General features: G+C 36.3%; 1 long non-coding RNA gene and 1 pseudogene across 1 annotated transcript in view, besides 1 other annotated feature; one reads left to right on the top strand and one right to left on the bottom strand.

Annotated features, from left to right (window-relative positions):
* The window catches only part of LOC105369890 (uncharacterized), a 192,148-nt gene extending 174,935 nt beyond the window's left edge, over positions 1-17,213 (bottom strand). The window contains exons 1-6 of the long non-coding RNA XR_001749246.2: positions 17,117-17,213; positions 16,186-16,288; positions 9,701-9,955; positions 4,127-4,319; positions 1,368-1,533; positions 162-262 (exon numbers count right to left, since the gene is read on the bottom strand). This is a non-coding gene — a long non-coding RNA (uncharacterized LOC105369890). The remainder of the gene's footprint in view (positions 1-161; positions 263-1,367; positions 1,534-4,126; positions 4,320-9,700; positions 9,956-16,185; positions 16,289-17,116) is intronic.
* Positions 17,110-17,609: an enhancer, noted in NCBI's record as "H3K4me1 hESC enhancer chr12:90313523-90314022 (GRCh37/hg19 assembly coordinates)". NCBI's record gives its function as "activates a minimal SCP1, AML or CMV promoter by ChIP-STARR-seq in primed H9 embryonic stem cells {active_cell/tissue: H9 hESC(primed)}" and the evidence as "EXISTENCE:reporter gene assay evidence [ECO:0000049][PMID:30033119]".
* BRWD1P2 (bromodomain and WD repeat domain containing 1 pseudogene 2) lies at positions 17,442-18,134 on the top strand (annotated as a pseudogene).
* The last annotated feature ends 8,769 nt before the right edge of the window (positions 18,135-26,903 follow it).

Raw genomic sequence — 26,903 nt, 5'->3', positions numbered from 1 at the left:
TCTATTAAAAGCAAAATAAAACTAAACACAGAATTAAAAGCTGTAACACGCACCTATTTCAAATACGATAATTGTACCACTGGTATCTACACATTAAAGTGCTGAATTATACTCATCTCATCTGTTAGCTTTGTATTTAGAAAGCTATAAGCTTCACATACCTTATGGGACAATTTGGTGCCATTTGTTTGGGACGACCAAGGCCTCATAGAAGAAATTGTGCCAGGAATGCCTTTCTAAGATACTGCCTTGCAGTGTTCCTCTAAAGATAAAATATTAAAATAGCAAAAAGCATTACTCTCAATGTGGGCATTGTTGCTTGTTTCTTATCAACACGGTTTTGAAAAATAAAAATAAGGAAAGTTTTTTTTTTTAATCCTCATTAGTTCACCGGTGGAAATTAAATAACAGAGCCAAGAGAAAAGCAACATATATTTTGACTGCCAGAAATGCAAATGGAGTGTGTGAAGAACTGCCCCATTAGCTGCCTGTCTGCCTGTAGAACCAGGCCTTGCATCTGACATGCCTTACAGGTTAATTGGGGACAGCTGCTTGTTTGAAGAGTCTAGCAGTTATTCTGAGGAACCGGCTAGCCAAATCTATCCTATTTGATTATGAGTAAAAATGCAGAGCTTAAGTCTTCTCAAGAGAAACCAAAAAAAAAAAAAAAGAAAAAAAGCATGTTTTGAAGATGGGAGGAAAGAAATCTGAATTTTTCCCAACAGTTGATGCTGACATTTAATATTGTCAAGAATACTAAATTGTCTCATTCAGACTGCTTTTTAAGCCTTATATTACAAATAGGTAAGCTAGGCCCTTAATTTGATGCAGTTTCTGAACCAGCTGGGGAACTCAATGATTCTAAAATATTCTAGGATTATCATTTACTTCCCTGTCCCTGTAGAATCTTCTGATTAAGTGAGGAAGCCCAGAAATATAGACATGAAAGGAAGATTTTATTTTTAGTTGTTGCTTTTGGCAAAAGTTCTCTGCCTAAAGGGAGGGAATTTATTCTGAAAAAAAATGGAGTTTTCTTCCCTGCCACATAAAGAAATAAAAATAGCAAAGGCCTCATAAATTACCATTCCACAGTGTCAGGATGTCTAGTTGCGGAGCTGATTGGTTAGGTGAGGGCTGTTGTAAAGTCACTCTGCAGGCAAGAGTCCCCTGCCTACTCCCTAACACTAAAATGACAACTGGGAACAGGCGAATAGACCTTTGGGCAAAAACACATATTTTTTTCTTCCATGAACAAGTACAGGTTTTAGAGAAGGCCAGAAATGACTAGACTTCCTCATCATTATCATACACCTCCCTTCCAGTCACAAAATTCTCAATGTCAGGAAGTAGTCAAACATCTCTCATACCATTCGTAAAGGATGTCAGAAGTGAATGTGTTCCACATGCGTAAAAGCTTGGGCAGCTTTCTTCTCACTCTCCTAAGTCACCCTGCCAGTGAGCCGAGACTCACGATGGGTCAAGATTGGTGGTTTGGCTGCAGGCATCCTATATCCACAGTTTGATCTAATTGACCTAAAGCAAAAGAAGTTTAAACAGTTCAACACACTGGAACTCAGAATCCCCATTTTTGCCTTTTCTCAAATCCTGATGGTTGCCTTGCCTGCTAGGCTGAATTTTAATATGTCCCCACCCCAGAGGCCACAGTCCCTACTCCCCAGGACTGTGAAGATGATGATGTATCATGCTTCTGATTGTGTTACTTAACACGAAAAAAAAAAAAGTGATTTCGAAATACAATTAATGGGTACTAATCAGTTACTTTGAAATAGGGAGATTCTTCAAGTGAAACTATTCTAATCACATGAGCCCTTTTAATCCAACCAGTAGTAGAAGAGGAATCCAGACAGATTCAAAGTGTGAGAAGAATTTGATGCAAAGGAGGTTTGCATTTTCCCATTGCTGAGTAGAGGGAACCACAGGGCAGGACCTGAACACAGACTCAAGGAGCTGAGGGTGGTCCCCAGATAACAACCAGCAAGAAAATAGGAACTGCAGTCATACAAGCACAAGACCTGGATGCCACCAACAAGCTGAATAAGCCTGGAAGTACACTCTTCCCCAGAGCTCCCACTAAGAGCCTTAATCAATACTTTTAGGCTTTGTGAGATCCTAGGTAGAGGACTCAGCAGACCCTGCATGGACTTCTGACCTCCAGAACTGTGGGTGTTTTTCAAGCTGCTAAATTTGTAGTAATTTGTTACTCAATAGTAGAAAACATATATCCCTGCACCAGAGACACTATCCTTGTGGCCTGTCCAGTTTCCCAATTCTTCTAAGATGAGGGTCCTTCCTTCCTCTTACCAGATCCTCCTGCCTCTTCACCAAAATTTCCAGCCCAGTAACTGGGTCCCTGCTACCTGCTCAAAAGATTCCCCACGTCTTGAAGGATTAGATTATGGGCCTACCTAGATTCCTGAACTCCCTGGCCTCTGACTTACATACTCTGAGGATAACTGGTCACTGGGCTCCCCTGCCTCCTCCTATTATGTGCCCACATCCAATGCCTATTATCCACACACATTTATGAAAAGAGCATGAACTTTAAAAGCAGCCAGTATTTTTCATCTCAACTCTACCATTTTACTACTTATGTGATATTAGGAAACTAATTAAACCTCCAGGGACTCATTTGTCACATTGTAAAATGGAGACACTGCCATCTAGTTTGTAAGATTTTGTGCAGATTAATCCTACTGTGCAAAAAGTATATAGCAACTTATTGTCATTACTATCACTTTTTGTATCCATCTATACAACTAAATCATGTGTTCTCCCTGTTGAAATGGACATTTCCCCAGAGCATTGAAGCCAGGCCTTGTCCTAAAATTTCTGCTTTGGTAGGTGGCATAGTTCCAAGTCCTCATCACTCCCAGTTGGCATGCCATGCTAACCTCACCATGTCCCAGAACAGGACCATTCATTCATTCATTCGTTCATTCAATAAACAGTTATCAGGGCCCTACCTTCTATATACTTCCTAAGTATTGTAGAAGACACAAGAATGTATTAGTGAGTTAAACAGGTAAAACTTCAGAGTTTACATTCTAGTGTGAGCCTTGCATGATAAAGTCATTGCATAAGATGTGTGAATGTATTGCCACTTTCAAGTTATCTCAGGACCTTGAGAGTCATAATAACAACCATCATTGCCCCAAAAATGTGTGGGAATCTGATCAACATTTTTCTTGCATGAAAAAACAGCAGGCATTGTGTTTCATAGCTGATAGCTAAGATTTAATATTCCTTCTGCCAGAGAAAAGAACAAAGGTAGTAAATTTTATGTGGTAGTGAAATGCTCGTGTTATGCCTCAGTGAGTTAATGAAAAAAAATCACTTCATTTCAGAGATTTGGGTAATGAGTCCATAAAGAGAAAGCAAGGCTGCAGCCAAGGCTGGGAGTACTATAGAAGTATGTGAACAACCTGCTGGTTGGAGATCAGACTAGCTGCTTAAAAGAAAAAAAAAAATCCACTTAACTTCCCATTGGAAGCAAGCCCTGACTCTCTCTGGAGGCCATTTTGTAACCCTAAAGAGCTTATTCCAGAGAATCACTGAATTTATCTCAACGGCAGTTCATCACGGTGGGTGTCAAGCCTGAACAGCAGAACTGCATGAAAAGCCTGTCTGTATTGGACCCATCCAACACCACAGGTTTTATTAAAGAGAGTCCTTCACTGAGGTGTTGGCCGAACATCATCAATGTTACCGTTTACAGTTTGTGTTGCAAAGAAGTAAATAAAAAGTGAGGCTAAAAGGAAAACAGAGTCCTCATTGAGTTGCCTCCTATTTACCAGTAATCACACCAAGTGTTTTTTGGATTGGCAAAACCGAGCTCTTTATTTTTATACTGGTAACATTTTCCAGTAGGCTCTACCAAAAGGTATCTGAGCACCTTGTGTTGTGAAATTCAGAGAAATGGAAAACATTAAAACAAATAAGCCTTGTCTTCCAGTACAGCCTACTGGAAAAGAAATTCTACCTTTCCAAGGGCATCAGCCTAAATGGGGCCTCAGTTCTTAGAATCCTTAATCAGTTGCCTTAGAAACCACGAGAATGTGGTGAGTGCCTCCAGTCTGCAAGGTAATACTGTGATAGGTTTAATCACCTGTTACTGTTCAAGCACACACTTGAGTGAAGGTGAAATTGTTATTCATTATGACTCGATGGGCTGCGTTTTGTAGATCCTTTTGGCGCTGAAATAAAAGTCTATCTCCTGCCTCAGAAGGAATGTTAGGTCCTCTAGTATTAGGAATTCTTGTTGGTCAGCCTTTGGTGATTTATCTCAGCTGGAAAGCACTCTTGAAAAAAAAAGTGGAATTCAATCCTGTTCAACAGATTATTTATTTAATTCCTACTATGTGTAAGGCACATGGTGAAAAACAGTAGCAAATTATATTCATTCTCATTTCTGAAGAACGCCAGGAATTTACAAAATAAATATGATACACCATGATGTAAATATTAAAATGGTGAGAGAAAAATGTTCTTCTTATCATTTATTTAATCTTACCAGACAAATACAGACTTTGGATTTACAGGTAAATTAAAAAATTATTACTTTTTAATATTATTTGAGACCTCCAAAACATTACCCAAATACATAAAATTGAAAGTAAAGATTACAGTGTGGGTTCTAAAATTAGTCCCAATTTCTGCTATGGAAATTAGATTTAACTCTTAAGTAACATAGCTAAATGGAAGTTCTGGTAGTTTCCTAAATTCTCTTGTGTGTGTGTGACTCTAGGTCTATTCCAACCCTATAATGGTATCTTCTCCAATCAGGGAATTTAATTCCAAACTCTTAGAAGTTTTTGTTTCTTTGCTATTGTTGTTTTTCTTTTTTTCTCATGTTCTTGCTCAAAGATGACTCTTTATATATTGTTTTTTTTTCTTTCTTCTCCCTGTCTTTTCCTTCTGCCCCTTTTCACCTCTCATCTAGATAACAAATGTTAAACGTATAGTTTCACATTTTTCCATACTCATAGACACATGCAGGGGTAAAGGGATCATTGTCATTATTTGTTTTACCAAAATGACATTATATGCAAGAATTACATCTTGCTTTTTTTCACTTAACAATACAGAATATCCATTCAACTTAGATGATACAGGTCTAACTTATTCTTTTTAGTAGACTTATAATGCTCTATGTTACAAATATAGCACAGTTTATTCACCCATTCTTCTATTAATGGTTATTCACCTTTTCAGTGTTGTGCTGCTAGAAACAGAGATGAAATAAACATCCTTTATATTATTTGCACTTTTATTTCTATAGTCCAGAATCATAGGAATAGAACTGCTGAGTCAAATGATGTGTATATTTTTAAAAAAATAAATCGCCAGGTTGTTTTTCAAAAAGTACATTCTTCGAACCATGCATGTGAATATTCTCTTTCACAAATATCCACCTATAGTTGGTATAAATCTTCCTTTAAAATTTTTCAAACTGATGTGTAAAAAGAATGATTTCATTTTCCCTTTCATCTGTATTTTCCTAACTAGTAAAAAATTTGAACAGCTTTTTACTTGTTTATTGTTCATCTGGGCTTACTTCCCTATGAATTAACTATTCAAATTTTTCATTCCTTTTTCTGTAGTATGCTTGTCTTATTGTTATCAATTTGCAAGCTCTCATTGTATATTATAGGTAATAGCACTTTGTCATTTGTGTTGCAAATGTTTTCTCAACTGTTGATTTTTACATATAGCCCCCTGAATTTTCTTATTCTATTTTTTATAAGTAGTGATTTAATCTATCCAGAATTGACAAGGCCAAAGGTAAGGGCCTAATTTTATTTTATTTTTTTCAGGTAGAAAGCCAGTTTTTACCAGCACCATATATGAACAAACAATCTTTTCCCATTGAATTTTAAAATACGATGTCTTTTTTTCTGCTCCTAATCAGTTTGTCAATTTCCATGCCAATTGCCTCCCCATTTGGTTTATGGTAATTTTACAGAATGGTTTATTGTCTATTATGCTTAATCTCTCCTCACTATTCTTGCTTTTTAAATTTTATTGGTAATACTGAATATTTATTCTTCAATATGATTTTTTAAATAATCTTGTCAAATTTTCCCCCTAAGTACACTCCAGCATTGTGTTGAATTTGTATATTAATTTTGAGAGCGTGGATGTTTTTACAATTTTAACTGTTCTCATCTAAAATATGGCATCTTGATCTATTTGGTTAGGGAGTTCTATATATTTACATGAAAATGTATGAGTTTTTTTCATGTAGGTCCTATATATTTCTTGATGAATTTAATCCTAACTATTAAATAGCTTTTTTTTTAGCAAGTAAGTGGTTATTGCCACCCCCCCAACAGACACACACAAAACTATTGCTTTTTAAATATCTATCTTATATCATCAATTCTGAAACACACATTTTTAACATCTTTGAAAATGGGACATATTCTATAATAATGACCTCTTAATTCTGACACTGTTTTTTCCTTCTTGGTGGTTCATAAAGTAACAGATATCTTAAAATATATAATATCTTAGGTTCTTTGAAATATTATATACCCAGTCAACTTACCAAATTTTCTTCTTCTAATTCATAATAGTGGAATTTTTTTTAGGTTTTCTAAGTACAGAAGTATATTATCTGCAATACGATGTCATTTTATCTCTTTTCCAAATTTATACCAATTATTTTACTTTCTTATTGAAGGTAAATATTGCTTTCTTCTTTTTATATTAGTGAATAGTTAGCACAAACAATTTTAATTGTTTGCTGTTGGTTTTTGGTAGGTTTTAATCATAGATAAGGCATTTTTTCCTTTTTCCTATTTTACATAGTTTTTATTAGGAATGCCTGAAAATTTTTAACAAATTCCTTCTAAGAATCTTGTCTTTATTGATAAAACATGATTTTTCTCTTGCAACATATAAAATCATGCTAATAATTTTCTTGATTTTCTACCATTCTTGCATTCCTGGAATTAATCCTACTTAGTGATAGTGTATTATAGTTTCCATTTTTTTGATACAATGCTGAGTTCCATTTCTTTATATTTGAATTTGAATTTTTGCCACTATGTTCACAGGAAGTTGGACTGTAGTGTTTTATCTGCACTACCCTTACTAAGCATTAAGATTATGCTGGCTTTTTATGAGGTTTAAATATTTAGCTTACATGATCTCTAAGGATTTGATCAAACTCAGCCACAAAGACATCGGGTCCTATTAATTTCTTTAATGGTTTATTTTTATTCATTTTTCAGTATTTTATATAGCATTTAGCATACGAAAGTTGTTCTTTTAGATCAATTTTAGTGAATTACATTTAGTATAATATTCATTTTCTCTAAGTTATCAATCGTGTTACAATCGAGTTTCATGAAGATTTTCTCATGTCTTTTACTGTCTTCCACATGTTACTGTCATTTTTCTCTTTTTTCTAATATTTTATTATTTATTTTGCATCTTTTTTGTTTTTCCTTTAACCAGGCTTATGAGAGATTTATCTATTTTATATAGCCTTATCAAATAACCAAGTTCCAGGTTTATTTAGTCTTTCTAGATTTTCCATTTATTTTCTTGTTCATAAGTTTTTGATTTTATCTTTATTAATACATTCTGATTTATATTATGGGTCCTTACATTTCTTTCTTTTTTTTTTTTTTTTTTTGTGAGACAGAGTCTCACTCTGTCGCCTGTCGCCCAAGCTGGAGTACAGTGGCACAATCTTGGTTCACTGCAAGCTCTGCCTCCCAGGTTCAAGTGATTCTCCTGTCTCAGCCTCCAAAGTAGCTGGGATTACAGGCGTGTGCCACCATGCCTGGCTAATTTTTGTATTTTTTTGGTAGAGACGGGGCTTCACCATGTTGGACAGGCTGGTCTCGAACTCCTGACTTCAGGTGATCCACCAGCCTAGGCCTTCCAGAGTGCTGAGATAACAGGCGTGAGCCACCAAGCCCGGCTTCATGGGTCCTTAAATTTCTTAGGATGAGTACAAAAAAACCCTATTTTTAGCCATCTCTTAATAATGGTGCCACTTAAAGCTATAAATTGCATCTAAGTACAATGTTTCCGAACTTTTACTATGTTTCATAAGTTTTGAGTTACATAGCTATTTGAGAACATGGATTGTAAAATCTCCACTTTTGGTTTTAAGTTTTTCTGTGTTTGTTTTTGTTTGGCTATGAACATGATCAATTTTTGTGAATATTCCAGAGATATTTAAAAAATAATATTATCTATTTGAAGGATGAAAAATTCTGTATTTGGCTAGTAGTCAATGTTATTGATTATAACATTTATTTCTTCTGTGTCATTACTTTTGTGTTCTCTATGTGATCTGATTTTGAATATGTATATTGGAATCTCTCTTTTTTTGCTTTATAGTTTTTGCTTTATACATTTAGTAGTATGCTATTTGGTGACTTCAGGTTAAAAGAAGTAACTGAATAAAAATATATTGCCTGGCTTCGGAGAGATCAAGGGCAGGGGTGGGGGTTCTGATCACCTTTTGACTATCATCCAAGGATTATATTAACCTACAGAAAATATTCTACTGAGTACTGCAGAGCAAGTTCAGCAAATATGCCCCCTTCTATCTGAGCAATATAAGTAGACAAGAATTTGACTATCTGTCCAATTGTTTTTGCAACTACCTATGCTGCTGAGGAGGCAGTGTGTTTAATGGTTTAGACTAGGGGATCTTAAGGTAAACTGTATGCTCTTGAGTCAGACTGCAGCTCTTAAAATAACTTTGTTCAGCTCTGTTTTCACACCTGGTAAATAGGAGATGATAATAACACAGCCTACTTTATAGAATTGTTGTGATAATTCGGTGATGGGATTCATGTGAAGCTCAGAGTCACACATGAATCAAACACTCAAAAAATTCTATTAATATTATACTAAGTTCTTGAGGCTCTCCTAGAACCATATACATAAATAGGCTTTGAAAAGAACATGATATTATATATGAATATAAATCAGCAATAGCATTATTAAAGCAGATGAGAGCAATGCAAATGTTCCAGAAATATAATTATAGAGTGTAAAATTATATGAAGTAACATGTAAAACAATGCCAAAAATTAAGTGCAAGTAAAATACAGTTAAGTTCTTCAAGGATAAGGATCGTGTTCCATTCCATTGAAATAGATCCACAGTTTTAAGCACAGAGATAGGTACACTGCAGATTAAATCAAGCTATTTTTTGATTCTCTGTGAAGAGGTACTGTCTCAAATTCTTGGATTAAATTAAATAAAAATTCTAATTTACTATCTCATGTCTCTTTCCTACAAAAGAGACACCTCTAAAACATCTTATAAAAATACTTTTAAAAATATCACTGGAGTAGTATCAGTCAAGGTTCATCATCCAAAACCTCAAAAAATAATAAATCAAAAACCATGAAACCTGACAAACTTTGAAAGACTTTAAAACTCTACCTCCATTTTCTCATACAGAAAATAGGCTTATATTTTTAAAATATTAAGTATCTCATTTTCTTTGGTACTTTGAATCTCTATGAGTCAATAACTTTGTTGCACTATGCAAAGTTGTCTAAGGAGATTAAAAAAACAAAAACCGGGTATTACAATTCCTGCTTTGAGTGAGTTTCCATCTAGCTTCAGATTCACAGCACACACTTAAAAACCTTTCTGAACCAATATATAAAGAGTACAATCTAATATTATGCAAATTGAGTACCTGAGCACTGAGGGGAAGAAAACTGAAGAAGCTAGTAATGTGAGATAAAATTCACCATTGGTCATCTGAACTCTCCAGCACCAGTAGTTCTCCAATGTTAGAATGCTAAAAATCACCAGACTTATTTGTTAAAATGCAGATTTCCAGTTCTAGCTCCAGAGATTCTCATTCAATAGGCCCACGATACCATCCAGGAATCAGGATTTTAATTAAATTCACAATCAGAAGAATGACATAATGTCTCTTTTTCTTCTCCTATAAAAGTGAAACACAAAATAATGCTTGACATGCAAAGATAAGACATGCTCTTACTTCATGGTGACCTGCTTACCAGGAAAGAGGAAGTGAAACAATCTATGAGGACTCTTTTAGCTCTAGGAGGCATATGTTTGTCAAAAGTCAAGCCATGTGAATCACGTAAACAAATTTAAAATGTACTAAAGATCTGTACTATCTGGATTTTCCACCTCTTTTTACCATAGATAAGTCTTTATGTATAGTGGACTATAGTATAATAACATAATATTCCTAATACCATTAAATATTGTCATCATCACAAATAAATTAAAAATCTACTAGCCAACTAGAAAATATTTGCCAACCATATCACATTAAAGGACGATACAGACCAGGCATGGTGGCTCACGCCTGTAATCCCAGCACTTTGGGAGGTTGAGGTGGGTGGATCACCTGAGGTCAGGAGTTCGAGACCAGCCTGGCCAACATGGTGAAACCCTGTCTCTACTTAAAATACAAAAATTAGCCAGGCATGGTGGCAGGCACCTGTAATCCCAACTACTCAGGAGGCTGAGGCAGGAGAATCACTTGAACCCTGGAGGCGGAGGTTGCAGTGAGCCAAGATCAGACCACTGCACTCCAGCCTGGGCAACAGAGTGAGACTCTGAAAAAAAAATTTTATATATATATATAATTAACACATAAAAGCTTTAACCATCTAATAGGAAAAGATGGAAAAAGACTATAAGACAATTTACAGTATAAGACATATAATTGACTCAAGTAAGGAAACTCTTCAACTTCACTAATGTTTAATGAAAAGCAAGTTATGAACACCAAGAATTTCAATTAGCAAAGATTGTTTTCAATGACAATAACTATTAAAAATAGTATTAAGAAAAATGGACTCATTCAGTCCTGTTATTGATTTTTTTTAATTTTCTGAAAAGTAGTTTATAATACATATTAAGAACCTTTAAAAATTCAGATTGTTTCAGTAATTCTTGTTTAGGAGAAAATGCCAAGGTAATAGTAAGAAATGCAGATAAGAATCATTTCTGGAAATGTTCATTATAGCATTATTATAAGAGCAGTAAGTTAAAAACCATCTACATATAAAAATGAGAAGGTGATTGCATGAATTATGGTCTATTCATATTATAGAAATAGTATATAACCATTAAAACTGTTTGTTTTTAAGAAAAATAACATACGAAAATGTTCAATATAAAATGTTAAGTGGAAAAAGAATAATTAAAATTACATATTTGGAAAATATCCCAAATATTTATTTTTTGTATGCTTGTATAACTAGAAAAAATGTGCTGAAATATTGAATGTTGTTTCTGAGTAATGAGATTATGGGTAATTTCCATTTTTCTCCTTGTAATTTTTTTTTCTTTTTTTTTGAAACGGAGTCTCACTCTGTCACCCAGGCTGGAGTGCAGTGGCGTGATCTCGGCTCACTGCAACCTTGCCACCTGGGTTCAAGCAATTCTCCTGCCTCAGCCTACCGAGTAGCTGGGATTACAGGCACCTGCCACTGTGCCCAGCTAATTTTTGTAGTTTTTAGTAGAGATGGGGTTTCACCATGTTGGCCAGGCTGGTCTTGACCTCCTGACCTCGTGATCCACCCACCTCAGCCTCCCAAAGTGCTGGGATTACAGGCCTGAGCCACCGCCCCAGCCTTCTCCTTATAATTTTTTATGCTCCCTAAATATTCTACAATAAGAGCTTATTTTTTAAGCTATCCTTTTGAGAGCTTAAAAAACTTAATACCATAGCATGTCAAAGATTAATAGGATAGAATCAGTTCCCAAAATCAATTAAACACATCATTTCCAACCAAAGGCAATTGAAAAGCAATTTTTAACAGGTATATGTGATCGGAACAGGGGCTAAATCAAGTCAAGGCACGATATCATTAGGAGTAATACAATCGGTTATGAATACTGCCATACACTTTTAATACTTATGTATTTGGGAAAACTTTAAGCAACAATTCTTTAAAGCTAATTTGTTTCTCTTAAGAACTGAGAAAGAATTGATATCTGAGAAAGTTGGAGGCTACCCAAGGAGAGAATTCAATGCCAACAAGGAAATCAAATTACTTGATTCACAAAATTGTTTTTTTATTAAGCTTCTCCTATAGCCCAGATTGTCACTTGAAGGCTGGGAGAGCAACCACCTCCATAGTACTTAAAAGCCTAGTTGAAAGTAAAAAATCTGAAAGAGACTTCAAATCTGCAGGCAAGGAAGATTTGGAAAGACTTCACTGGTTTCTAAACCCAGTTACTACTCAGAAGCACCTACAGAGCTTGTTAACCCTAGATTCCTGACCCCATTCCTAGCGATTCAGAAGGTGGAAGGTAGGTTCGGAAATGTGATTTTAAAGATATATCCCTGGTAATTCTAATGAAGTCCAAGTCCTGAGACCAGCATCTGAGAACTGCTGATATAGAACCAACAAGGAATTTAGGCCCAAAGAAGTAAAGATCAATTACATAATTTAGTTAGTAACAAAGCAAGAAATGCATTTGGATGCCTTGTCTAGAAACCAATGCTTTTTCTACTATATTTTATATTTCTAAACCACTCTCCCAACAGAACAATAATAATATAGGTTAGGTTTAGGTAAAGTACCAGGCAGCCTCAGCACCTGAGTTTCAATCTTACAATGAAAACTGGGAGGACCCACTTAAACTACAAAAGGAGTTTGTGTGGCTCTTACAAAAATCCTCAATTTCAGAACATTTTCTATAGTAGCTTAGATAACTCAAAACCCAGCTTAAAAACTAAGTAGCAGATATAGTGAGACTTTTTGCTAGTTCACACTTTTTCATTTTTTTTGAAGATCACGCACCAAAAATCACTGCATATTTGTTGTGTGATATTACAGCTATAAAATAAACAAATGTTGATTCCTTAGCTCTTTTATCCTTGGATGTTTTCACTAGCTGAGATTTTGAAATGGGGAATTATTAAAAGAAGAAGTCATACAATTATGTCATACGAACTTTCACAACTGCAAGTAAAGGGATATTCTCTTTTTACTAGGCATCTATTATGTGCCAAGTACATTTAGTTAATCTGCATAAACCTTGTTAAGCAATCATTATTGGTCCTCATTTTACAGACCAAGAAATAAAAGGAAGAAAAATCTGAGTAAATATTTTATTCAAGGCCACAAAGCCAGAAAGTGGCAAAGTGGGAATTTGAGTTCAGAACTCACAGTAATCTCAAGCTCTTTCTGTTTCCCCCAAACTCTCCCTTCCCCTTCACAACCAAAAATGTCTTTGTCAATAGAGGATATTTGAATGAAAGAGACAAATGTAAATGTTACTCTATATGCTAAACTTTTTCTATACTTTACCAATAACTGTAATTATTGATTCACTATGTTCTTCCCCAAGAGAAATAAAAAAGTACACCCTGCTTACTCTTTTTAAGTTATTATTATATAACTTATAGGAAGACATTACAGATCTAAAATCATCTCCTTAGTATTTTAGTCCTTGAGTGACAATCTAAATTGTGTACTTGTTTTTTTTAAACGGCCATTGATTGCAGGGTTGAAAAGGCTTTGTTCTATCAGAGTGGTCTAAATTTTTGAAATTTCCCTGTGGGTCACTGTATTCTCTCAAGTGACACAACCTTTGCTACAGAGTTATGCTGAAATTGCAGTGGAAGTTACAACAAGAATTTTACCAGTTGCCAGTTTATTTCTGGATCCAAGAGCTACCTAGGAAATCTTCCTCTTGAAAATTAATCTAGTTTGAAACTGAAGAAGGCCAGTGGCATGGTGGCTGTAACCAAGAGGGTATGAAGTGGGGACAGTGCTAATATGTGTTGTCTTATCAGACTACTGCCTCTTCCCAATTTAAAGCAGCGGCATGTTCTAATTAAAATGTGAGAAGAGTAGAGGAACAATTGTATCATCAAGGAGACAATTTCTAACACATAGGATTATTATTTATAATTATTAGCTTCATTATCCTCATCACCATTCATAAAACATCTGAGTTCTAGAGAAGAGTTCTAAAGCATATTTCTTTGCAAGAGCAAGAGTCACTTCACATTAACACCAGATTCCACAGATTTTGAATTTGTTCCCAATGGTCTATTTTTACTGGAACTAAAGACAATAAGCTGCCTGAGTGTGGTGTGAAATATCTATAGATATGCATCCCCTGGGCCCTCTCAAATTTTTCTCATTACTCTTTACTAGGTCTTTTGAAACAGAAAGAGAGATGCTGTCTTCAGTCATCAGATTAAAAAAAAACAAAAAGAAATAAAAAAGATGATGAGTTTAACTGTCCACTGACATAATATACTACCCCCATCCAGAGGGATTCAGGTCTTGACATAGAAATACAATGAGAATTTACCCCAAATCTAAGTATGTAGAAAATAGAGTGGGGGGATGGGGTGGAATAGGAGGAGAAAATCCAGGAGATGTCACCTATTCTCCCCTCGCACCCTTGACTTTCCCATTCCACTTTCCCAAAGAAGGAATGAGGGAATTCTAAAGAGCCAAAGTTCAATGGAGGATCCATGGAGAAAGAGGTTATCTTTCCTAGCTTGGTATAGTGTTAAATTAACAAAACAGGCTGTCTTTTGGGTAAACTAGCATATATCCTCCAATTTCCATTCAGATGTAATGAAATCTTTAAACATAACTCTAGTGGTCTTAATTTCCCATTTTCAGTTATTTTCTCTCTATATTATATTTCCATTCTTAAGAATGCATCTATTTCCATTGCTTAAGTTCTCATGTCTACCAATCCAAACTTTGTATCTCCAACACTAATTTTTCAGTCAGCCTTGTTCCATATTTCCAGGACATTTCCATCAGAACACCCTGCTTTAATTCTAAGTGTCCAAAAATCAAACTGAGGCACATTCCCACCTGAATAAACTTTTCTTGCTTTAAGTTCAGCTTCATTGTTTTCCATTACATTTTCCAAGTCACTCAAGCTTAAACCTTAGACCTATTTTTGAGTCTTTTCTCTATTCCTCCCCTAATAATCAGTACCATCTTTTCTTGTTATGATCGCTAGTGTTCATTTCTACATTGCCATTCCCTCAAATCTAGAGTTTTATTCTTGTACAGACTTGCAGTTTCCAACACATTTTCAGCCTCTGTCTGTCACAGTTAATTCTCTGACACTAAAGCTAAGTAAGTCTTTACAGAACCTCCAGTAACACACCATTTGCTTAAAAATGTATGCTTTTTCACTGCAGCCTTTCTAATCAAGCCCAAATTACTTAGCCCAGCATTTGAGATGGTCCATTCATTATCTGACCCTACCTTGCCTATCCAACCGGATAGAACCCCATTAGAACATAATTCCTGGACCCATACCTTTTGCTTTAGTCAAAGAATTCCCCCTAATGCCACCTTCTTTCCCCAAAGCACACCAAGTATTCAGAATGTTTGACTTTCCATTATCTAGGTGCTACAGCTTTCTGGACTCAATTTCAATTTCAACTTTGCAGTGAAGCATTTCCTGGTAACTTCAGAACAGAATTCTTATCCACTTTTCTAAATGTCTACAACATAAGTCATGTGAATCTAATTATACACTATCACTTTTTAATAATTTTTTTCTACTGCTTTGTGTTATAAAGTTGCCTCCCGCTGCATTGCAAGTAGTTGGAGGACCTTGATAATGAGAAGTGGTTTTATTTGTTTCTTTAGTAAAAGTCAGATAACAGAACAGTTATAAAACTATACACTATGTTTGGTGTTGAGTCTTAATTATCACTACTTAAAATCTCTTTTTATAATTTTAAGGGTCTTAAATGTGTAACCGCATTTCTAATAGGGAAATTTCAATGGCCCTATCTAAGGCCTGAGGTCATTTAGTTGAAGACAAATTGAAACAGAGTCACAGATTCTCCCTTAAGTATGTCAGTTTTGTTCAGTTCTTTGTGTACTTTCCCTGTGCTGAGTTTCCCACCAGCAGACCCTGAGACAAGGATTTATATGCAGGTGATAGGAAGAAAGTGCTGCAAAGAAACTTGTAGAGAGGAGGGCCAATAGGACAGGGAAGAGGAAATCAAACAAGGGTGCAATTTGAGACAAAGTCCCAGCCTCAGCCAAATCCCAGAAGAGCTCTGGAGGTGAATTCTTCATGCACCAGTCATTGACTACAGACTGATCTAGTGGGACATCAATTCCCAAGTACTTCCATCCCCTGTGCACTGCAAAACTCCTCCAGGAGCCCAAGGACAGACAGACTTACAGCAAACACGTTGAGGCTGGAGGATGAGCCCAGAAACAGCGCATAGACTCAAAGGGCATCTGAGTAGAGTGCAGACAGTGTCTTTATCCGGATCTTCCTGGTTCTGTAACAGAAATAACATAAAGGGCTCCTTTATTTCAAATGCCTGTATGTACATAGAAAAAAATGTTAAAGGATACAAATCTAATTATTAATGGTCGACTGTGAGATTCGTGAAGGGAGACTTTCACAATTGACTTTCCACATTTCTATATTATTAGACTTTTATAGCAAGCATTACTGTCGTAAGAAAAAAACCTGAGCCAAACAGATTTTTCCACCAAAAAATTAATGATGTACTGGTTTATTTATTATGACATGTTTTGTTGTTTGTGTTGCAAATAACTCTAGGAAAGTAACACCATCTGAATAAAAATTGATTATCTAGGCTGTTAAAATGCTCAAGTCCATTCATTAACAAATTGCATTCTCACCAAGCATAAATGATTACCATTGTAAGCCCAGAAAGAAATAAACCTTGTTAAGACTTCCATAAGAAGCGGTATTTAACTGGTTTTGTAGTCTGTGGCCACTAGAATTTTGGCTTTAATTCTAAAATATGGTCCACTAATCATATATAGCCTAATCTATATCAAAAAATATCGCAGCAAAAAATTTAAATTGTCTTTAGAAGTGTAATTTAAAAGTACTTTGGAAATACAGATGAAAGGTAGAGTCACATTTGGTTATAAGGAATGTCTTGACTGCTTTGAACATAATTGGGTAATAGCAATTGGTCAGACCTGTGCATCGAAAAGAGTAATCTGATAGCTACATGTCATATAAATTGGAAGGGCAAAAGAATGGTAGAAGTCAGAATTCTGCCAGAATAAATCAGCTGAAAGGCAATGAAGATGATAACTAATGAGAAAGAATCAAGCACTTGTCCTACCTTTCATATAGAAGCTGTACTACTGATAATGAAATAGTAGATGAGGACAATGATGATTTAAAAACATTAGAGGTCATATGATCGTGATAGTGGAGATAAGAATGAGCAGAAACTACTTAGATAGAGGGGCTGAGGAGAAAGCATAGTCAAAGATGACTGAGATCGTTCTTGTTTCAGGGACATAACATTGAAATTTTAAGAAAATACTGATTTTTTTAAAAAATTATAGAATTTTACATTTTATATCTATTAAGTATATCTCAATAAATCTGGGAGAAAAATAAAAGCTTCCCAGTTGATTCTAATGTGAAAAAAAAAGCATTAGGGCGGCGCGCACGGCATGATGGCGGCGGCGGCGCACGTGCCTCAGGAAAAGGGACGCCGGCCTCGTCAAGCCTCAGCGCGGCCCACATGCTTGGCTAGCACGCTCGCTCCCGCCTCCCGCCCAGCGCCCGGCCAAGGAGGAGGCCTTGTCCACCTGAGGCCCGGTGCCTCTCATGGAGTTGGAGCTGTACTTCCTCATCGCCCAGTACCTCTCACCGGGTCTGTGTTGGAGAAGGGCCCAGGTGCTGGTGCAGGAGCTGGAGCAGTACCAGTTGTTGCCGAACAGGTTGGACTGGGAGGGCAATGAGCATAACAGGAGCTACGAGGAACTGGTCTTGTCCAATAAGCATGTGGCTCCTGATCATCTGTTGTAAATCTGCCAGCGCATTGGTAATATGTTGGATAAAGAAATTCCACCCAGTATTTGAAGAGTCACTTCTTTACTTACTGCAGGAAGGCAGTCTTTGCTACTTACAGCGAAAGGTACCTTAATTTGAGGAAGTGTTCTGCTTCATATCAATAGCTTAATAATTATTATAATGTGAAGTAATGTAAGCATTGTGGAAGAAATGTGATAATGTAACTATAAATCATGATGTGGACTATAAAATTCTCTTCGTTTAGCATAGAACACTGAATTTTATTACCTAAGTGTTTAATGGGTCCTTCTGCATTAAAAAGTTGATAAAGATATAGATGTTAAACTAAAAAGGTTGAATTTATTCTGAGATGTATTTGAGGTTTTATCATGGTGAGTTCTTAATTTTCCATTTTGTAGCTCACTCATAATTTCATTGAATGTGATTGCATGTGTCTAATAAACTCTAAATGCTAGAATTTCATTTGATATTTAGATTCTGAAAGCCCTTTGTTATAAAGGGAAGTGATTTTCTAAATTTGGTAGCAGCTTGAAAACAAGCACCAAACATGTAAAATTGCATGGTTCTTTTTTTTACTAATTTAATTTTTTGCAAAGTTTTATTTTTTGCAAAATGTTTGGAATTGCTATTCTTTTTCTGTTAGCTTGGTGATATATGACTTAGACTAAGTGTTTGTATGTGATATAATCTTTGTGTACATGTGACTAAACTGCTAATGGCCAAATATTGTTGGTTCTTCTGATCCTGAGCATACATCAATTTCATTCCATGATTTTTTTTTTATTATGAGCTATTGCTGATGCGATGCTATCTCTTAGGTGCACCACCAATATAAAGGTTAACTGAGAAAGAACAACCCTCCCTCTTGGTTCTGTGCCAAACCGGTTTGTTAGCTTTAGTTGTTTCTTAGTGCTCTAGCCATGCCACACTGTGGCACTAATCAGGAAACTGTTTATATTCTTCCTCTTCTGTGTCCCTGTTCACTTTGTAATTATTCTATTTTAGCTGGTTATATGGTAGTTATTTGGTGGCCTGTTTTCCTTTGTTTTCTTTACTTGTGTCAAGTTCCATATCATTGTTTTGTGACAAGAGCCGTGATCTAGAAGTGGCAGACCTTAGAAGAGACTTCAGCAAGCTGCTCTAGGGTAAAGGCCACATTCTCTATTTGTTTTGTACTAGTACCACAAGAGGATGCCTTGTAACTGCTCTTTGGTCATGATTGTGGTAACAAATCCATCCATGTAAAATGCAATATGCCTGTTAGTTTGGGGCACCCGAAGCTCAATAGAGGTTTAGTATAATGCCTTTCCTCTCTTTGAGTTGTGAAGAAACTAATTGTTCGCATAGTGTGACTGCTTATAACCTATGTTCTGCTGCTATCTCCTATAGAAAACAGACTTTATTTTCTTAGTGCATTTGCTGGTAGGTCAAGGAGGGATGGAATTTGAATTAGTGTTCAGATTCACAGATCCTACCTATGTGTTCTTCAGTAGAGGATTTTCTGTGATCCTAAAACAAACGGAAAGCTATATAATTTATCAGTACTTCCGAAAGAGAGAGACTAAAGTCATGGCAGTGTTGGCCAAATTAATTTTAAAACTGAACAAGTCATGAATTTTCATATAAATCGAAGAAATTAAATTTTTCCTTATAAAAGCTTCCATTTTTGAAAAGTTGGATCAGTTGTAAGACCTTTTATCTTTAATATTATATTGTATAATTCTACATTGAGAAATAAACACTTGGCATTAAATGGGACTATGCGTCAAAAGATCTGGTTTTATGGTCCGTCTTTACCAATCGTTTGCTGTGGATATCTTTAAAGGTCCTGGAACTTTTGAGCCTCAGTTACCTCACTTGTAAATTGGCAAAAATACCTACCTCAATTCTGGTTGCTGTGAGGATTCAATGAGATAATGTAAGTTGAAAGCACATTGTGAATTGTAAAGTGCTATACAAAAGTTGTTGTTGCTGCTGTATCTGAGATGTGTTAATTTTTTTTTCCTTTGGAAATAGTTTAATAAACTTACAGGGCTTTTCTATTAAATTATATTAGTTGGTAAACAGTTTATTACAAAATAAAAAGGAACTAATATGTGAATACAAAATTTTGATATTTTAAAAGCACAGTTGCAGCAGTATTGGAAACTAAAACGATGGCATAGGAAAACATGGCTGGAAAAGAAAAAAATACCTAGAAGGGCAAATATTAACAGAATCAAACTTTATCAGAGAAAAAAAAAATGGCCTCAGATTCTTACTTTGATGTTTCTGACCCAATTTTATACCTTTTCAATCGGCATTTCTAAGGAGTTTGGCACAAATTTGAGGAATGCCAAATTTGTCAGACTCCTGAAAGACTGGGCAGTACCTATATCCGAGTTTAAGTTAGCCAGAAAGCAGAGTTACCCATAATATCATTTTCTTTTTCCTTTCCCTTCCAACTTTTATTTTAGATTCAGGGAATACACGTGCAGGTTTGTTACATGAGTAAATTGCATGTCACGGGGATTTGCTGTACAGATTATTTCATCACCCAGGTAATAACCATAGTACCTGATTCGTTTTTCTATCCTCACTCTCTTCCCGCTCTCCACCTGCAAGCTGACGCCGGTGTCTGTTGTTTCCTTCTTTGTGTCCATGTGAAATACTAAATTTTAAATATAGGTGGATTTAGACATAAGGATATTTGGCAGGCAGTGGAAATAGGTGCCTGGAACTTTGAAAAGGTCGAAAATATAGATTTGAGCCATCACTAAAAGGGTGATGATAGAAGCTACAAGAGTAAATAAGATAAGCAAAGGACAAACAAAACTGGAGAGAAAGAACAGGGAATGCAATCATGGATAGTATTTGGAAGACAATTGGGAGAGGTTACTTAGGGGTGGGGAGGATTTAAAAAAGTAAAGCATCCCTGAAACCAAGAAATGAAGCTGATGTTGGAAAATGTAAAGGAAGATAATGACAGAATATTTTGTTGATTTTTCACTGTAAAAAGTTGACTTATAAAACCTTATTTTCCATCCATTTTCACAGCTCGAGAATCAGTCCGAGAAGAGATAAAAATTATTTTTCTGCCGGGCACAGCAGTTCACACCTGTAATCCCAGCACTTTGGGAGGCCAAGGCAGGCAGAACACGAGGTCAGGAGATCGAGACCATCCTGGCTAACACGGTGAAACCCTGTCTTTACTAAAAATACAGAAACAAAATTAGCCGGGCGTGGTGGTGGGCGCCTGTAGTCCCAGCTACTCGGGAGGCTGAGCGACAGTGAGACTCTATCTCAAAAAAAAAAAAAAGAAAATTTCATTCTACATCATTGAGAATTAAAATTACTCAAAGAAATATATTGCATTTTATCTGGCTAAATTCCCCCCAGAGAATACAACTCTTGTTCAAAATGTATTCAAATTACCCCTTTGTCATCAATGACAAAATTTCGAATTCTGCAATCTTTGGTCTACCCAGGAAGGAATTAAACCTTTTCTTTTGAGTTACTAAAGATTTCATGGGCTTAAAGTATAAGCTAACATAAACCCACCAAATGTAGCAAGCAATTGTGAATCAAGTAATTTGAGTCAAGTAACCAAGCTAGAAAACACAAACTGGTGTAAGCAAATATAAGAAATTATATAAGGATCCAGAGGTGTGCACCAGTTGGCAAGCCATGTTTAGGTACAGGGAGGAATACAGACTTGAGAAAGAAGAGAAAATTTCACAGGTTAGAGCGTACAAGCAGAGTCTAGCACGTGAATGACACTCACAGCCTTGGGATCATGGTATCCTGTTGCTCTCGCCTGATCTATGCCTCACTCAAGGGCTTACGTACTTTTCTACAGTCTTGACCTGAGTCGTCCTCCATCTTTTAGCATCTTTAGATGCTAAAACTTCCAGAAGCCTTTAAATTCAAGTATTCAATTTATTACTCATCTTCAGATTACTAATATTTGTTCCTGTCTCATGCTTTTTCCTAGCAGCTCATACCCTGATCCAAAATTCATATTATACATATTTTTTTCTTTTTGGCACTTTATAGATTGTGCTATTAGCTATTTTCAGAAATCCGATTAAACCTTAGACCCTGTATTTGAAGTTTAATGTTTTTATCATCACCACTAAATTATTCCGTGGTGACTCAAATTTTCAAAGTGAAATATATTTGTTATCCTGCCTATTTGCAGTTTGGGAAATCATTTTCACTGCTCAATGACTTGTATCATATAGGTGCCATTTGTATTATTTTAAGCACCTATATGCATCCCTGGTATTAAAGTGATTAAAATAAATATAGTTACTAAATGTTTGAAGGAACTTTATAACATTGCTCCAGAAATATCTGTTCAATGCCACTAGATTCTGTGTTTGCACCACATAGAGCACGCCATAGGATACTTGAGAGTTGAATCATGCCATTGATTTCGTATAGTTTTTGTACATGGACTGATCTTTCTAGAACTTTAGAGTCATTTTATCCTCCTTGTCATTCAACATTTTGAAGGATCCATCAGCAATAGCTTTGCATAATTTGCTCTTTTTGAGAAGTAAAAGAAAAAATTGGATATGTCTGTGTTGTCATCCTAAAATAAATAGAAAATTAATTCTATGTAAATCTGATAATATGTGTCAGGATAATAGTTCTTAGTGTATTTAAATTATTGACTGTTTTGGTAAGGACTATGTATCAATTTTTCATAAAGCATATTGACATGTTACTGATTTGTATGCCAATCCCTTGTTACTTGGCACCATAGAAAAGTTATTTGTGTAAGATAAGGAATAAGGAGGAGTATGAAATCAGAGCCTGCTCAGTATGCTAAAACTTCAGTTGATCTATTTATATAAGTAAAGTAATTCAGAGCAAACAGCAAATCCCTGCTAATTTTCTTCCCTTGCCCACTAACAATCTCACATACTCACCAGCATGTATTCCACCTTTGCATATGTGACAAATTCAGGACAGTTTAATATAATTCTGCAAACATGGATTGAATTCACTGTATATGTGCATTGTTCTTTGCACTATGAGAAGGCAGAGATAATTGGTACGGCCTCTACCCTCAAATAGCTTATAATCTTATAAGGGCAGATGGATAGCTAACTATATATAATCCAAGCAGAATAAAATAAATCTTTACACAGATGTAGAAACAAAATAAAAAACAGAAACAGAGACTAATTCTTGTTGAGAAAAAGGAATCACTGTAGGCTGTCTAATCATTGAAGAGTACTTGCTTTTCTAATAGGAACCTTCAATATTGATTTTTCTATAAGTCATTGCAAATGACCAAAACGACAAACTGATTTTATATATTTCACCTGATATGCCACTGATCTCTGAATTCATTAATTCAACAAATAAATATTAAGCATCTATTATGTGACAGTTGTGTTACTAGGAATGCAATGATGGAGATGATTCAGTTTTTTTGTTTGTTTCTTTGTTTTGAGATGGAGTCTCACTCTGTCACCCCAGGCTGAAGTGCAGTGGGGGCAATCTCAGCTTACTGCAACCTCTGCCTCTTGAGTTCAAGCAATGCTCCCTGCCTCAGACTCCCATGTAGCTGCCCACCACCACACCTGGCTAATCTTTGTGTTTTTTAGTAGAGATGGGGTTTCACCATGTTGGCCAGGCTAGTCTTGAATTCTTGTCCTCAGGTGATCTGCCCACCTTGGCCTCCCAAAATGCTGGGATTACAGGCATGAGCCACCATGCCCAGCCTCAGTCTTGCCCTCAAGGAGACTACATTCTAATGGATAGAGAAAAGACATGAAAACTAATAAATCTTATAAATCTTAGATGTTTTGGAGTAGAACATAACCAAGGCATAAAGGAAACAAAAACATACATAGCAGTCAATTCTTTTTCCTAAGAGTGTGAAGTTAAACGTCACTAATTATCAGGAGAATGCAAATTAAAAACCACAATGAAATACCACCTTACAGCCAGTTGTGGCTCACACCTGTAATCCCAGCACTTTGGGAGGCTGAGGCCGGCAGATTGCCTGAGGTTAGGAGTTCGAGACCAACCTGGCCAACATGGAGAAACCCCCCCCTCTACTAAAAATACAAAATTAGCCACGCACGATGGCTCATGCCTGTAATCCCAGCACTTTGGGAGGCTGAGGCCGGCAGATTGCCTGAGGTTAGGAGTTCGAGACCAACCTGGCCAACATGGAGAAACCCCCCCCTCTACTAAAAATACAAAATTAGCCACGCACGATGGCTCATGCCTGTAATCCCAGCTACTCAGGAGGCTGAGGCAGGAGAATCGTTTGAACCCGGAAGGCAGAGGTTGTGGTGAGCCAAGATTGTGCCATTGCACTCCAGCCTGGGCAACAAGAGTGAAACTCCATCTCAAAAAAAAAAAAAAAAAAGAAAGAAAAAGAAATACTAACTTACTCCTGCAAGAATGGCCATAATTAAAAAAACCAAAAAATAAATGTTGGCATGGATGTGGTGAAAAGAGAACACTTTACTTTTACACTGCTGGTGGGAATGTGAACTGGTACAACCACTACAGAAAACAGTATGGAGATTCCTTAAAGAACTAAAAGTAGAACTACCATTCAATCAAGCAATCCCACTACTGGGTTTCTACACAAAGGAAAAGAAGTAATATGAAAAAGACACGTGCACACACATGTCTATAGAGCACAATTCACAATTGCAAAAATAAGGAACCAACCTAAATGCCCATCAACCAATGAGTAGATAAAGAAAATGCAGTAAATAAACACCATGGAATACTACTCAGCCATAAAATGGAACAAAATAATGGCCTTTATAGCAACTTGGATGGAGTTGGAGGCCATTACTCTAAGTGAAGCAAATCAGGAATGGAAAAACCAAGTATTGTATGTTCTTACTTATAAGTAAGAGCTAAGCTATGAGGACACAAAAGCATAAGAATGATATAATAAACTTTGGGGACTTAGGGAGAAGAGTGGGAGTAGGTGGGAAATAAAAGACTACATATTGGATACAGTGTACACTGTTCGGGTGAGGAGTATACCAAAACCTCAGAAATCGCCCCTAACGAATTTATCCATGTAACCAAAAAACAACTGTTCCTCAAAAACTATCAAAATTAATTTTTTTAAGCTGAAAGATAATAGAGACTCTGTTTGTTTCATTCCCTTTGTTGACTACCAAAACTTCAAACTAACAGGACAATGATCGCACAAAATCGAAGGTACAGGTGAGCACAAGCTGCTCCTGATGCATTGCTAGTTGCTCAAGTGGTGTCCCTGAAGCTCACTGTGCTTGGTGAGAAGAAACTGTGAGGTCAGAGGATTCAGAACCCCAGGTTCTCAGACATTTAAACTTTTAGGTTGTGGAAGGGACTGTGTCGTCACCCACAAGTCTGCCTATTTAGCAAACAAGAAATTCTTGCTGTACCACAACTATATACCTCCTAACTGCAGCATCAGGCCTATAGCAGACTTGCCCCTGGCCTACCAAGAAAGGGTTCATAGAACATGGTAAATTGAACACACACACACACACACACACACACACACACACACACACACATGCACTTACTTATCACCATCACCACTCAAACTTGGCCAGAATAACAGTAAAGAAAAATTTTTAAGTAAAATGTAAAAACAAAAACAAAACATACACACAAGGACAAAGAGAGAAAATGGAGACAACAGTATATAAGGCTTATCAGCAAAATTTTGGAAAATGGAAAGAGTATGATGCTATGGTTTGAAAGTGTCCTCCAAAATTCATATGGTGCAACAGTGGTGGGTGGTAAGGCCTAATAAGAGACAACTGGGTCATGAGGTCTCTGCCCTCATGAATGGATGAATACAGTTATCTCAGGAGCTAGTCAGTTACCACAACAGCAGGTGATTTATAAAAGCTAGCCTGGCCCCTCCTGCTCTGTCTCTCATGCTTGCTTCCACCTTCCATCATGACAAGACCCTGGCCAGATGCTGGTGCCATTCTCTTGGACTTCCCAGCCTCCAGAATTATGAGCCAAATAAACTCCCATTGTTTGTAATTTACCCAGTTTATGGTGTTCTGTTATGACAACAGAAAATGTACTAAACAGATGGATATGTGCTAGCTGACATTGCAGAAAAGTGAAATAGAAATGCTTATGAAGAAGATCAATGAGTAGGCCACACCCCAGAAAAACTCAGGGAAGTAGGTATCAGCAACCAGGAATCAGCAAGCTGAATGGGAGAAAGAGTTGCCACACTGAATACAGAGGAATTCCACACTGGGGATGATGAGATTCCCCAACCCCCTTTCTCTGATCACCTCCCAGTGTGCTGGTAGTAGGGCTTATACAACCAAGATATCTCCTTTTATCCCCAGGATATAAGAATAGAGTGTTTGTTCCTCTGTAGGAAACATAGCAAACCCAAGAGAAAACACCCTAAAGACACTAATGTTTGCACAGGTCCACTCACCCTGAAGCAAAGCTCTTCATTCAACAAACACCAACCACCGCCAGTCCAAACACACACCCCACAAACACACAATCACAGAGCCTCTCATCAACTTTTTTCAGTGTCTCACTTTGAGATAGGAATAGACATTCAAAACTCAACAGATACATGTGGGAAACCTCTCACATGAGCAGAGAAACCAAAACAGATCAACAGAAAAGGGGATCTCTAGGAAACAGAAATGATGCAGGGAATATGAGGTAAAACCTAAATCAGCAAACAGAAATGAAACTCTCCCTCATAGTCTCATAAAGACAGTTCATCCGTAAATTAAGAACAGATGGATTAATTTTTTTAAACGGAGCATTGAGAGGATGGAGAACAGCTCTTGGAAATTAAAAATACAATTTTGGAAGAATGTCTTAAAGTCAATAAATATTTAGAAGGGTATATTGAGGAAATCTAGTAAATAAAATAAATAACAAAGATTGGAAAAATAGAAAAATAAAGACAGAAAGATTAAGGTAGCAATCCAGGGGATCTGATATCCAAAGAGGAGGAGTTCAAGAAAGAATGAATAGAGAAAAAGGAATGGAAGAAATTACCAAGGGAATCATAAATTTCCCCACTTCTAAAGGAAATTAGTTTCTCGATTGAAAGATTCACAAGATCTCTA

This window comes from Homo sapiens, chromosome 12 (genome assembly GCF_000001405.40).
Source record: "Homo sapiens chromosome 12, GRCh38.p14 Primary Assembly".
Classification (NCBI taxonomy): Eukaryota; Metazoa; Chordata; class Mammalia; order Primates; family Hominidae; genus Homo; species Homo sapiens.
The sequence above is the reverse complement of the archived record's forward strand: the minus strand, read 5'-3'. Positions and strand labels throughout refer to the sequence as shown.